Source organism: Homo sapiens, chromosome 3, assembly GCF_000001405.40.
Source record: "Homo sapiens chromosome 3, GRCh38.p14 Primary Assembly".
NCBI lineage: Eukaryota > Metazoa > Chordata > Mammalia > Primates > Hominidae > Homo > Homo sapiens.
This window is the reverse complement of record NC_000003.12, coordinates 166,876,869-166,891,390: the sequence shown is the minus strand read 5'-3', so window position 1 is coordinate 166,891,390 and position 14,522 is coordinate 166,876,869.

The window sequence follows — 14,522 nt, the reverse complement described above, 5'->3', positions numbered from 1 at the left end:
GATGTTCAATAAATATTTTGTGAACAAATATATGCTGCAATTTACATTTGGTAAGAAGAAACTGATCCAGAGGGATTATGTGGGTTGGTTAAGGTCAGATGTCTATCTTGCAAAAATTTTAGAAACAAACCAGGTTTTGTAGCACATAGAAAAATACATTTTCTGATTCCTGAATTCTTTCATATGTAATCCTTGGTATATACACACACACATGCACACATACACATATGTATATACACAATGTATTATACCCATATACAAATTTATTAACCAAAATTTTTTGTCTGAGTTATTTCAAATATTAAAAAAAAATTTTCTAATGATATCATCATCTAAAATCACTAAAGACAATTTGCTATAACAAAAAGTAAAATCCACTGTTCAGAAACCTTACATTAAATCAAAGCTGCTCTCATGTATTATGAATATATTGGATGTTCAGGAGCATAATAAAAATAGATATGATAAATGGCATCAAAAATTGACATAACTATTTAATTTTGTTTATATTTAGATATATGAAGATGTAGACATTTGGATATAATAAGTAGGTATATGTACTATATCTACTTTTATATATGCATATGCACTATATATACATACTGTATATACAATATAGACATATAGATATAGAGATTTGCAAGTATATAGATGTAGTATACATATGTGTGTGTGTATGTATACGTATATAGGCACACATAATACACATGTAGTACCAAAGTTATTTTAATGTTAATTTGAATAAGAAATGAATAAAAAATTTTATTAGAAAAGACATCTTTAAAGTAACTTTTTATTACGTATTTTCATTTTATCTCTGGTTAGGTTTCGTGGTGACTGAGAAAAAGCAAAACAAATACACAAATATGAACCCTCAATACCTTATTGGATAATCCATTAAATTTATCTATTTTTTGGCAACAGGTACTCACTGTGTTTGTCTTTAGTTCAAAGTTATTCAGTATGAGAGAAAACAAATGATCCTTTTGGAGAAAAAGTGCAAACCAAGTCAGTATTCTGCCTCTGCAGTCCTTCCAGAGTGTGCTGATTTGGCTGCCTGGCATTACTCTGCTTACCTCCAGCAAGTTTTTGATTATTATTTGGAAATCAGCTAAATTATACTCTCAGCCTAGTTTGTGCTATTGAGGTTCCACACTCAAGACCACTGGAGCAGTGCATCAGATTATCCAAGCCATTGTTCTGCATTGTGGTAAACAATATATCTCAAGCCTTGTGAAGTGACTGGAAAAGATGCTTTGCATTTTCTGTTAGATGGGACTCAGAAAAGACAAATTTTTAGAACTTGTAGCACTCATTCTTCAGCCATGAGGTTAGAAAAATCCAAAATGAGAAGAAAATCAAGTTGAACAGAGGTGCTGCAAATCTGGGTCCTGCTAGGATTTTTTTTCTACCTTGTATTCACATTTCAGATTAAAACTGGAACGTATCTGTGATGGTTAATACTGAGTGTCAACTTGATTGGATTGAAGAATACAAAGTATTGATCCTGGGTGTCTTACTCCAGCCCATTTATCGAGTGACCCAAAAGGCTGCCAGTTTTGAATGGGGTACAGAACAGGAGAAGACTCTGCAACAGGTCCAGGCTGCTGTGCAAGCTGCTCTGCCACTTGGGCCATATGACCCAGCAGATCCAATCGTGCTTGAAGTGTCAGTGGCAGATAGGGATACTATATGGAGCCTTTGGCAGGCCCCCATAGGTGAATCATAGGGGAGACCTCAAGGATTTTAGAGCAAGGCCCTGCCATCTTCTGCATATAACTACTCTCTTTTTGAGAGACAGCTGTTACTGGGCTTTGGTGGAAACTGAACTTTTGACTAAGGGTCATCAAGTCACCATGTGATCTGCACTGCCTATCATGAACTGGGTGCTGTCTGACCCATCTAGTCATAAAGTGAGTCATGCACAGCAGCATTCCATTATCAAATAGAAGTGTCTATACGTGTTTGGGCTCAAGCAGGTCCTAAAAGCACACGTAAGTTACATGAGGAAGTGACTCAAATACCCATGGTCTTCACTCCTGCCACCCTGTACCTCTCCCCCAGCCTGCACCAGCCTTATGGGGAGTTCCTTATTATCAACTGACAGAAGAAGAGAGACTAAGCCTGGTTCACAGATGGTCCCACACAACATGCAGGCACCATTCGAAAGTGGACAGCCACAGCATTACAGCTCCTTTCTAGGACATCCCTGAAGGAGGACTGTGCTAGGGGGAAATCTTCCCACTGGGCAGAACTTCCAGCAGTGCACTTAGTTTTACACTTCACATGGAAGGAAAAATGGCCAGATATGCGATTATATACTGATTCATGGCCTGTAGCCAATGCTTTGGCTGGATGGTCAGGGACTGGAAAGAAGCATGATCGGAAAATTGGTGACAAAGAAATTTGGGTAAGAGGTATGTGGATGGACCTCTCTGAGTGGTCAAAAACTGTGAAGATATTTGTATCCCATGTGAGTGCTCACCAAAGGGTGACCTCAGCAGAAGAGGATTTTAATAATCAAGTGAATAGGATAACTCGTTCTGTGGATACCCCTCAGCCTCTGTCCCCAGCCATCCCTATCATTGCCCAATGGGCCTATGAACAAAGTGAACATTGTAGCAGGGATGGAGGTTACACATTGGCTTAGCAACATGGACTTCCACCACCAAGGCTGACCTGGCTACGGCCACTGCTGAGTGCCCAATTTGCCATCAGCAGAGACCAACATTGAGCCCTCGATATGGCACCATTCCTCAGGGTGATCTGCCACCTACCTGGTGGCAGGTTGATTATATTGGACCTCTTCCATCATAGAAAGGGCAGATGTTTGTCCTCACTAGAATAGATACTGACTCCGGATATGGGTTTGCCTATCCTGCGCACAATGCTTTTGCCAATGCTACCATCTGTGGAATCACAGAATGCCTTATCCACCGTCATGGTATTCCACACAGCATTGTCTCTGACCAAGACACTCACTTTACAGCTAAAGAAGTATAGCAGTGGCCTCATGCTCATGGAATTCACTGGTCTTACTATGTTCCTTATCATCTTGAAGCAGCTGGATTGATAGAAAGGTAGAATGGCCTTTTGAAGCCACAAGTACAATGCTAACTAGGTGACAATACTTTGCAGGGCTGGGGCAAAGTTCTCCAGAAGGTGGTGTATGCTCTGAATCAGTGTCCAATATATGGGTAGTGTTTCTCCTGTAGCCAGGATTCACGGGTCAAGAAATCAAGGTGTAGAAATGGAAGTGGCACCACTCACCATTACCCCTAGTGATCCACTAGTAATAATTTTTTGCTTTCTGTTCCCACAACATTACGTACTGCGTGCCTAGAGGTCTAATTCCAGAGGGAGGAATGCTGCTACCAGGAGACACAACAACGATTCCATTAAACTGGAAGTTAAGATTGTCATCTGGATACTTTGGGCTCCTCCTACCTTTAAGTCAACAGGCTAAGAAGGGAGTTACAGTGTTAGCTTGGGTGATTGGCTGGGACTGTCAAGATGAAATTAGTCTAGTACTCCACAACGGAGGTAAGAAAGAGTATGCATGGAATACAGAAGATCCATTAGGGCATCTCTTAGTATTACCATGCCCTGTGATTAAGGTCAGTGGGAAACTAAAACAGCCCAATCCAGGCAGGACTGCACATGACCCAGACGCTTCAGGAATGAAGGTTTGGGTCACTCCACCAGGAAGAGATCCACTACCTGCTGAGGTGCTTGCTGAAGGCAAAGGGAATATAGAATGGATAGTAGAAGAATGTAGTCATCAATACCCGTTATGACCACATGATCAGCTGCAGAAATGAGGACTGTAATTGTTATGAATATTTCCTTCTTGTTTTGTTTAAAACATATTTGTGCACATATAGACTTGTACTAAGAAAATATCTTCATTTTATTTGCTTTCTCCTTTAACATGTGACATAAGATTTATTGACTTCACATCAACGTCTAAGTATTGTTAACTTTATGTAGTCGTATTTGGGTGGGTAATTGGTGCATTTCTGGTTGTAGGAAGCATAGTTGTATTATGTTAGGCACAATTATGACCTTATTATTGGCTTTATTGTCTTTATTTGAAGATTATGTATGATCTCAGGACATGTGTATGGGTTCAAGTTTGACAAGGGGTGGACTTGTGATGGTTAATACTGAGTGTCAACTTGATAGGATTGAAGAATACAAAGTATTGATCCTGGGTGTGTCTGTGAGGGTCTTTCCAAAGGAAATTAACATTTGAGTCAGTGGGCTGCGAAAGGCAGACCCACCCTTAATCTGGGTGGGCACAATCTAAACAGCTGCCAGCGTGTCTAGAATATAAGCAAGCAGAAAAATGTGGAAAGAGAGACTGGCCTAGTCTCCCAGCCTCCATCTTTCTCCCATGCTGTATGCTTCCTGCCCTCGAACATCGGACTCCAGGTTCTTCAGTTTTGGAGCTCAAACTGGCTCTCCTTGCTCCTTAGACTGCAGATGGCCTATTGTGGGACCTTGTGATCAAGTGAGTTAATACTTAATAAACTCCCCTTTATATATTCCATTAGTTCTGTCCCTCTAGAGAACTCTGACTAATACAGTGTCATTATACAAAATTCATTATAGTACTTTTTTGTTTTTGTTTTTAGCTAGTTTGGGTAGGAATTGCTGTCAGTTACAATCAAAACAACGCTGATATAATACAATAGTCTTGATATTAATTGTAAGTTAAATGCACAAACTTGCAAAAAATGTACTGCATCTAGCTTTACAATGACTTTAATGAAGCATATGTTTTCAGAGAATCTATTTTTTTAATTTTTAATCTTTAATTTTTGTGGGTACATAGAAGGTATATATATTGATGGAACACACGAGATATTTAGATACAGACATACAATATGTGATAACCACATTAGAGTAAATGGGGTATCCTTCACCTCAAGCATTTATTCTTTCTTTGTATTACAAACAATCCAATTATATACTTTTAGTTATTTTTAAAATGAACAACAAATTATTGTTGGCTGTACTTACCCTGTTGTAATTTCAAATACTAGATCTTATTTACTCTATCTAACTATATTTTTGTACCCATGAGCCATCCCCATATCCCTCTCTCCCCACTACCCTTCCCAGCCTCTAGTAACCATTGTTCTACTCTCAATCTTTGTGAGTTCAAGTGTTTTAATTTTTAGGTCCCACAAATAAGTGAGAACATGCATAGTTTGTGTTTCTGTGCCTGGCTTATTTCACTTAACATAATTACCTCCAGTTCTATCAATGTTGTTACAAATGACAGGATCTCATTGTTTTTTAACTGGATAAATAGTAATCCATTGTGTACATGCACCACATTTCCTTTTTATTATTATTTTTTAATTTCAATAGCTTTTGGGGTACAAGTGGTTTTTGGTTACATGAATGAATTATATGGTGGCAAATTCTGAGATTTTAAGGCATCCATCACTCATTTGGGTACATGTTGTACCCAAAATGTAGTTTTTTATCCCACATTCCACCCTACCCATTGTGAGCTTCCAAAATCCATTATATTACTCTGTGTGCCTTTGCATATTTATAGTTTAACTCTCTAAGTGAGAACATATGATGTTTGATTTTCCGTTCCTGAGTTACTTCACTTGAAATAATAGCCTCCAGCTCCATCCAAGTTGCTGAAAAATACATTATTTCATTCCTGTTTATGGATGAGAAGCATTGTGTAGTGCATATATATCACATTTTAAAAATCCACTTATTGGTTTATGGGTTTTCAGATTAGTTCCAATCTTTGCAATTGTGAACTGGGCTGCAATAAACATACACGTGCATGTGTCTTTTTCATATAACTCCTTTTATTTTGGGTAGATACCCAGTAGTGGGATTGCTGAATCAAATGGTAGGTCTACTTTTAGTTTTTTAAGGAATTGCCATACTGTTTTCCATAGAAGTTGTACTAATTTACATTCCCTCCAGCAGTGTGTAAGCATTCTCCTTTCACCACATCCACAAAAACATCTATTTTGTTTTTACCTTTTAATAATGGACATTCCTACAGGAGTAAGGTGGTATCTCATTGTGGTTTTGATTTGCATTTCCCTGATGATTAATAATGGTGAACTTTTAAAACATATTTATTGGCCATTTGTACATCTTTTGGGAAATGTCTATTCATGTCATTCTCCAACTTTTTGATGGGATTATTATTTTTTTTCTTGCAGATTTGTCTGAATTCCTTGTAGATTCTTTATACTAGCCCTTTGTTGAATGCATTTCTCCCATTCTGTGCATCCTTGTCTTGTTCCAGTTCTCAGGGGCAATGCTTTCAACTCTTTCCATTCAGTATGATGTTGGTTGAGGGTTTTTCATATTTTGAGGTAAGTTCCTTCTATGACTAGTTTGTTGAGGGTTTTTGTCATTAAATGATGCTGGATTTTATTGAATGCATTTTCTGCATCTATCGAAATGATCATATGGTTTTAGTTTTTAATTCTGTTTATAGGTGTATCACATTTATGACTTGCATATGTTAAATCATCCCTGCATCCCTAAGATGAAACCCACTTAATCATGGTGGATTACTTTATTGATATGCTGTTGGATTTGGTTAGCTAGTATTTTGTTGAGGACTTTCGCATCTAAGTTTATCAGGAATATTTGTCTGTAGGTTTTTTTTAATTTCTTTTGTTATGGCCTTTCCTTGTTTTGGTATCAGGATGTTACTGGCTTCATAGAACAATTCAGAGAGGATTCCCTCTTTCTCAATATTTTGGAAGAATTTCAGTAGGATTGGTACCAATTCATCTTTGAACGTCTGGTAGAATTCAGCTGTGACTCCATCTAGCCCTAGGCTTTTTTGTTATTGGCAATTTTAAAATTACTGATTGAACCTCGCTGTTTGTTACTGGTCAGTTCAGGGTTTCAATTTCTTCCTTATTTAATCTTGGAGGGTTGATGTTACCAAGTATTTATCCATTTCCTAGGTTTTCTAGATTGTGTGCATAAAAGTGTTTATAGTAGTCTTGAATGATCTTTTATACTTCTCTAGTGTCAGTTGTAACGTTTCTAATTAAGCATATTTGAATCTTCTCTCTTTTCTTGGTTAATCTAGCTAATGTTCTGTCAATTTCATTTATGTTTTCAAATAACCAACTTTTCTTGCATTTTTTGTTTCAATTTCATTTAGTTCTGCTGTAATCTTTCTTATTTCTTTTATTCTGGTAACTTTGGCTTCAATTTGTTCTTGTTTTTGTGATTCTCGAGGTATGATATTAGGTTGTTAATTTGTGATCTTTCAAATTTTTGATGTAGGTATATAACACTATAAAATTCCCTCTTAGCAATGCTCTTGCTGTATCCAGAAGTTTTGATAAATTGTGTCACTGTTATTATTCATTTCAAATAATATTTCAATATACATATTGATTTCATTGCTATCCCAAAATCATTCAGAAGCATACTGTTTAATTTCCATGTATTTATATAGTTTTAGGGGTTTCTTTTGGAGTTGATTTTTAGTTTTAGTCCACTGTGATGTGAGAAGACACTTGACATGTTTTTTATTTTTTTAATTTATAGAGACTTGTCTTGTGGCCTATGATATGGTATATCTTGGAGAATGTTTCATGTGCTGATGAGAAGAATGAATTTTCTGCAGTTCTTGGGTTGAATGTTCTGTAAATGTCTATTAGGTCCATTTGTTCTCGAGTGTAGTTTAAGTTCATTGTTTCTTTGTTGACTTTCTGTCTGGATGACCTGTCTAGTACTGTTAATGGAGTATTGAATTTTCCCAGTATTATTGTCTTGGTGTCTTATTTCTTGAGTAAAGGCGTAACTGTTTTATGAATCTGGGAACTCCTGTGTTAGGTGCATGTAAGTTTAGAATTTAATTAATATATTCTTGTTAGATTGATTATTTTATCATTATACAATAACCTTCTTTGACTTTTTTACTGTTGTTGCTTTAAAGTCCTTTTTATTTGATATGAGAATAGTTACTCCTACTTGCTTTTGGTTTTAATTTGTATGAAATATCTTTCTACCCCTTTATCTTAAATTTATATGAATACTTATGTGTTAGGTCAGTCTCTTGAACACAACAGATACTTGGTATCTGATTTTTTTTAATCCATTTTTCCAAACTGTATCTTTTAAGTGAAGCATTTAAGCCATTCACATTTAAAATTAATACTGAAATGTGAAGTACTATTCTAGTCATCATGTTAATTGTTACCTAGTTAACTTCATTTTTTAATATTGTGTTACTATTTCATAGGTCCTGTGCGTTTTATGCGTTAAAGAGATTCTATTCTGGTGCATATAGGACTTTTGCTTCAAGATTTATGACTCATTTTAACATTTCTTATATGGCTACTCTGGTAGTAATAAATTCCTTCACATGTGTTTGTCTGAAAATGACTTAATTTCCCCTTCATTTATGAAAGTTAATTTTACTAAATACAAAAATTTTGACTGACAGTTATTTGTCTAAGGAGGCTAAAGATAGATCCCCAGTTCCTTCTGGCTTGTAAGGTTTCTGCTAAAAAGTCTGCTGTTAGTCTGATAGGTTTTCATTTATAGTTTGCCTAATGGTTTTGTCTCATTTGTTCTTAGAATGCTTTCCTTAATGTTGCTGTTAGATAGCCTAATGACTATATGCTTTGGTGATGAACTTTTTGCAATGAATCTCCCAGGAGTTTTTTGAGCTTCTTGTATTTGGCTATCTAAAACTCTAGCAAGGCCAGGGAAGTTTTCTTTATTTCCTAAAATAAATTTTCCAAACTATTTGCTTTCTCTTCTCTCTCAGGAACACCAATTATTTTTAAGTTTGGCCATTTTATGTAATTCTGCATTTCTTGGAGATGTTGCACATTTCTTTTGATTCAATTTTCTCCCCATTCAATGTGATACTAGCTGTTGATCTTTCATATAGGACTTTTGTTATGTTGAGGTATGTTCCTTTGATATCCAGTTTTTTGAGATTTCTTTTTTTTTAAGGAAAAGAGGAAGTCAAATTTTCCCTGTTTGCAGTTGACATGATTGTATATCTAGAAAACCCCATCGTCTCAGCCCAAAATCTCCTTAAGCTGATAGGCAACTTCAGCAAAGTCTCAGGATACAAAATCAATGTGGAAAAATCACAAGCATTCTTATACACCAATAACAGACAAACAGAGAGCCAAATCATGAGTGAACTCCCATTCACAATTGCTTCAAAGAGAATAAAATACCTAGGAATCCAACTTACAAGGGATGTGAAGGACCTCTTCAAGGAGAACTACAAACCACTGCTCAAGGAAATAAAAGAGGATACGAACAAATGGAAGAACATTCCACACTCATGGGTAGGAAGAATCAATATCATGAAAATGGCCATACTGCCCAAGGTAATTTATAGATTCAATGCCATTTCCATCAAGCTACCAATGATTTTCTTCACAGAATTGGAAAAAACTACTTTAAAGTTCATATGGAACAAAAAAAGAGCCCGCATTACCAAGTCAATCCTAAGCCAAAAGAACAAAGCTGGAGGCATCACGCTACCTGATTTCAAATTATACTACAATGCTACAGTAACCAAAACAGCATGGTACTGGTACCAAAACAGAGATATAGACCAATGGAACAGAACAGAGCCCTCAGAAATAATGCTGCATATCTACAACTATCTGATCTTTGACAAACCTGAGAAAAACAAGAAATGGGGAAAGGATTCCCTATTTGGTGCTGGAAAAACTGGTTAGCCATATGTAGAAAGCTGAAACTGGAACACTTCCTTACACCTTATACAAAAATTAATTCAAGATGAATTAAAGACTTAAACATCAGACCTAAAACCATGAAAACCCTAGAAAAAAACCTAGGCAATACCATTCAGGACAAATCTTATCAACATATGACATTTCTTTGGTGCCCAAAACCTTGTCTAAACATGTGAGCAGCCTCTATTCCCTTTATTCTAATTTGTGACATACAAATTGACCCTTCCTATTACTACTCTGACAAACACCTCTGTTTTTTAAAAAAGCCTTTATCTTGTTAAAGTGATTTAGCTCTTATGTTTCCCATCAACTCAGTTTTGTTTTTTGGTGTATGAAACAAACAAGTAACCCTTGCCATCTCCTTCCTATTATCCTGTAAGGAGGTCTTAGCTTCCAAAGAAAAAGTCATACATTTGAAATTGCAGTGAAGTGTACTATCTTATGCTATCCTCACAGTAGACATTAGACATCCTTACATTGGCCCAGCATTATAGTTTATTTGTGGTGAAATTGGGACTAGGATATGGGCCTTCTGAGTCTTGAAATGTTCACTTTCTCACTGTTCACCAGTAACCTAGAAACCTTATAAGGAATCCATTGCATCCCCCAGGATTAACTAAAAATTAAATTGCACACAAAAATAAGGGACATAAAAAACAAACCAATGGGTGTGTATGTGTGTGTGTAATACACATGTTGGCTTGTTTTTTATATATACATATCTTTTGCAGGGACACAGTACAACTCATAATTTTTGAATCCTTGAAAACTTTATATATATATAAAATATATTTACATATACATTATATATATGTATATATGTATGTATATAAATGTCAGTTTCATTTGAAACTTAGCAGCTGTAATTAGAGGGGTGTGCACATTCCTCTTTATCTCTTTCTCCTCGTGCTAGCTGAACATGATGAGAAGAGTTATTATTAAACAAATAATTTTTAAAGACAGTTTATTATATATGTATGTATATATAAATAGTTTATATAAATATATATTATATATTTACATGTAAAAATATATTAAGTATATATTATATATTTACATATAAATATATATTATATATTTACATATAAATATATTAAATATATATTATATATTTACATATAAATATATTAAATATATATTATATATTTACATATAAATATATTAAATATATATTATATATTTACATATAAATATATTAAATATATATTATATATTTACATATAAATATATTAAATATATATTATATATTTACATATAAATATATTAAATATATATTATATATTTACATATAAATATATTAAATATATATTATATATTTACATATAAATATATATTATATATTTACATATAAATATATATTATATATTTATACAAACCAATGGGTGTGTATGTGTGTGTGTAATACACATGTTGGCTTGTTTTTTATATATACATATCTTTTGCAGGGACACAGTACAACTCATAATGTACCCATTGGTTTGTACATGTAAATATATAATATATATTTACATATATATAGATATGTATTATATATACATATATAAATATATATTATATATACTTATATAATACATATTACATATATTTAATATAAACAAAATGTATAATTAATATAAATACATATACATTTTTCAAGGATGCAAATATTATGAGTTGCATTTTGTCCCTGCAAACGGTATTTTGATTTCTAACCCGTAGTACCTCAGAATGTGATCTCTGGAAACAGAGTCTTTGCAGATGTAATCAAGTTAAGATGACATCATTAGGATATGACTAGTGTCCTTTTAAGAAAAGGACAGAGACACATAGGGAGAACTCTGTAACTGGTGATGGAGGCAGAGATGATACAGCTACAAACCAAAGAATGTCAAGGATGACAACCCACAAGGATTGATGACAACCCACAGTAACTGGGAAAAGGCAAGAAAGAATTCTTCCCAGTGTCTCAGAGAGCATGATCCTACTAACATCTTGATTTCCAGACTTGTAGCCTCCAGAACTGTGAGAAAAAAAAACACTAGGTTTTTATTAGCCACCCAGATTGTGGTACTTTGTTACCTCAGCCATAAGAAAGTAATACACCAGAGCAGGACTAATAAGAATATCAGTGAATCTGTGTATTTCCTTATTACTGTATACTTTAGGACTAGCATTTTTATTGTTATAGCCAAGTGAATGATGATCTTTTATTTATTATTTATTTTCACCTAGAGATGTTTTCTCTGAGTCTATTATCCCACATAAGATCATCGTAGTTGCTACCGCGGGACCAGGTAGGGAAAGGGTTCATTTGCTAGCGATGCTATGAAGAATCAGGGAAATTTGCCTAAATACACCCATGAATGCAAACAACAAAAAAAAAATAATAATAATACAATGGAAACTCCTCAAATATGAAAAGAGTATATTTTGTGTGTGTGTGCTTAGTACTCTCATTATATCTAATGCTATTCAGACCAACGCCTTACTCTTCAAGTCAGAATATTGAAGATAATCAATTTTAAAAAATCAATAATTATAATTCGTTTTGATTCAAGGACATTATTTCCTATGCCTGATAGCTTTTTCTTTTGCTTACTAGAAATCCAAGTCTCATGTGTCAGTGATACAAATGATTCTTTTCTTTCTATTTTGTCACAATTCGCCTTTGTTCATAAACTGATTCATGTGTTACTTCAATTACATTTTTAAACTTATGAGATAGTTTTCGTTATCCATATTTTCTTAGTCACATAACTAAGCCTCTGAAACGTTAAAAGTAAGAAATTAGGGAAAAGAACATTTGAATACAGATATTTTAAGTCTAAATCTGGTAAGTTTTTCTCACTTTAATGTATCTATTTTTATTTTATAATAAAATAAATGATCAAACCACTCATCATATTTTTTAATGTGATAGGGAGTATAGATTTTAAGATTTAAGATTTAAAATAAAATATTTATTTATTTATTTTTTGCATTTGAATGTCTATGCCTATAAATGTATAATTAATACATCAATTATTTTTACCTATTATGTTAATTTAATATTTTTATTTATTTGAAAAGGAGATAGGCAATTTGAGAATATAAACAATTTGAGTATCTAGTTTGTTGCAAATAATTCTTGCTCTTAGTTTATATCATTGGGACACATGAATTTTTATTTCTCTTAAAATATATATGAATTTGTCAAATTATCATTTTATGTCTGTCTTCAAATAAACAGTGCAGTACATTAAAAAAATTTTAGTGATTCACGGATACCTTGGAAAATGAGACATGTTGCTTGTACACACAAAATATTTTAAACATGCCTTTGCCATTTTTGTTTCCTTTCTCCACTGTGAATTCTCATTTTCTTAGGCTGTAACCCAAAACTACATTTTCCAGCATCCCTTGCAACTGATTGGATAGGGAACTTTAAGCCAATCTACCTTCTCAGAATTAAGAAGAATGATGTAAAGGATGAGTGAGGCTTAATGGCTCTTCTGGCAGAGATACTCATGTAGTCATTTGATTTTCTCTGCAGTAGCTTGGCAAAGATTGTGGGATCTGTGGCTATAGGGGTGTCAAGAGGGATTTCTCCTGGAACAGTATTATGGAATGATTGGACATTTCTCCTGGCTACAAAACTTTTGATTGACTACATGACTCCACATGCATTAAAAATTACATTAGCTAAATAATACCTTGAAATAAACCTATTTCTGCTTTAATTGTCTAAATTCATCTGCAAATAAATCCCAGTTAATACCAAAAATCTCATAAAATATGGATTCTCTTCTCAGAAAATAGGCAAATATGTATGTTGTAGCAGATACCATTTTCTTAATAATATTTTCTAATATCCCTGTTTCCTTAAGCAATACAAGTTGCAGTTTTTAACTAAATAGTAGTTATTCAGTCTAGAATAAAATACTGTTTCTCAATTTCCCTTAGAGTTAAGAATGTCTCCATCATAAATTTTGACCAAAGTATGTAACTGTCAGTTTCATTTGAAGCTTAGTAGCTGAAATTAGAGGGGTGTGCACATTCCTCTTTATCTCTTTCTCCTCTTGCTAGCCGTACACACCAGAAGAGTTATTATTAGACAAATAATTTTTTAAAGACAGTTTTTGAAAGGTTAGAAATGATTAAGTTAAAGAGGTACATTTGAATAGATGATGATTTAAAATCATTTTAATGAAAATAAATAAACTCTATGAACCCACTGGAAATATTTATTTCTTGATAATTTGACACAGAATACTGACAAACTTGTTGATGATGGTTGTGAATTCAATTTCAAATTAGTCACGGCACCAGTAAATTTGAAACACCCTAAAGTCTAACGAAGTTATATAAAACAAACTAATAATTGCATTCCAAATTTGATTCTAAAACCTTACATAACATCACTCTTAACAAGTTACAAATTTGAAATGAACATTATATATTAGTAAGGATATTAAATATATGATTAATGATAGTAAAGATTAAATTATTTTTAATCAACTGAATAGAAAATTAATATTATCCAACTACCCTCATATGAAGATGTCATCAAAGGGAATATTGCCAAAAACATAAAGGGAAGAGGGTTTCTGAAATTGAGAGATAAAATTGCATATTTACTATGTACCACACATTATTTTAAATGATTTATACATGAACTATTTCACATGGTCATCATTTTTGTAGTAATAATACTTTAAGTCCACTCTCTTAGCATTTTTCAGTAATACAATATATTGTTAACTATGTAGTATAACCATGTTGTACATCAAATCTCTTGAACTTATTCTTCCTATC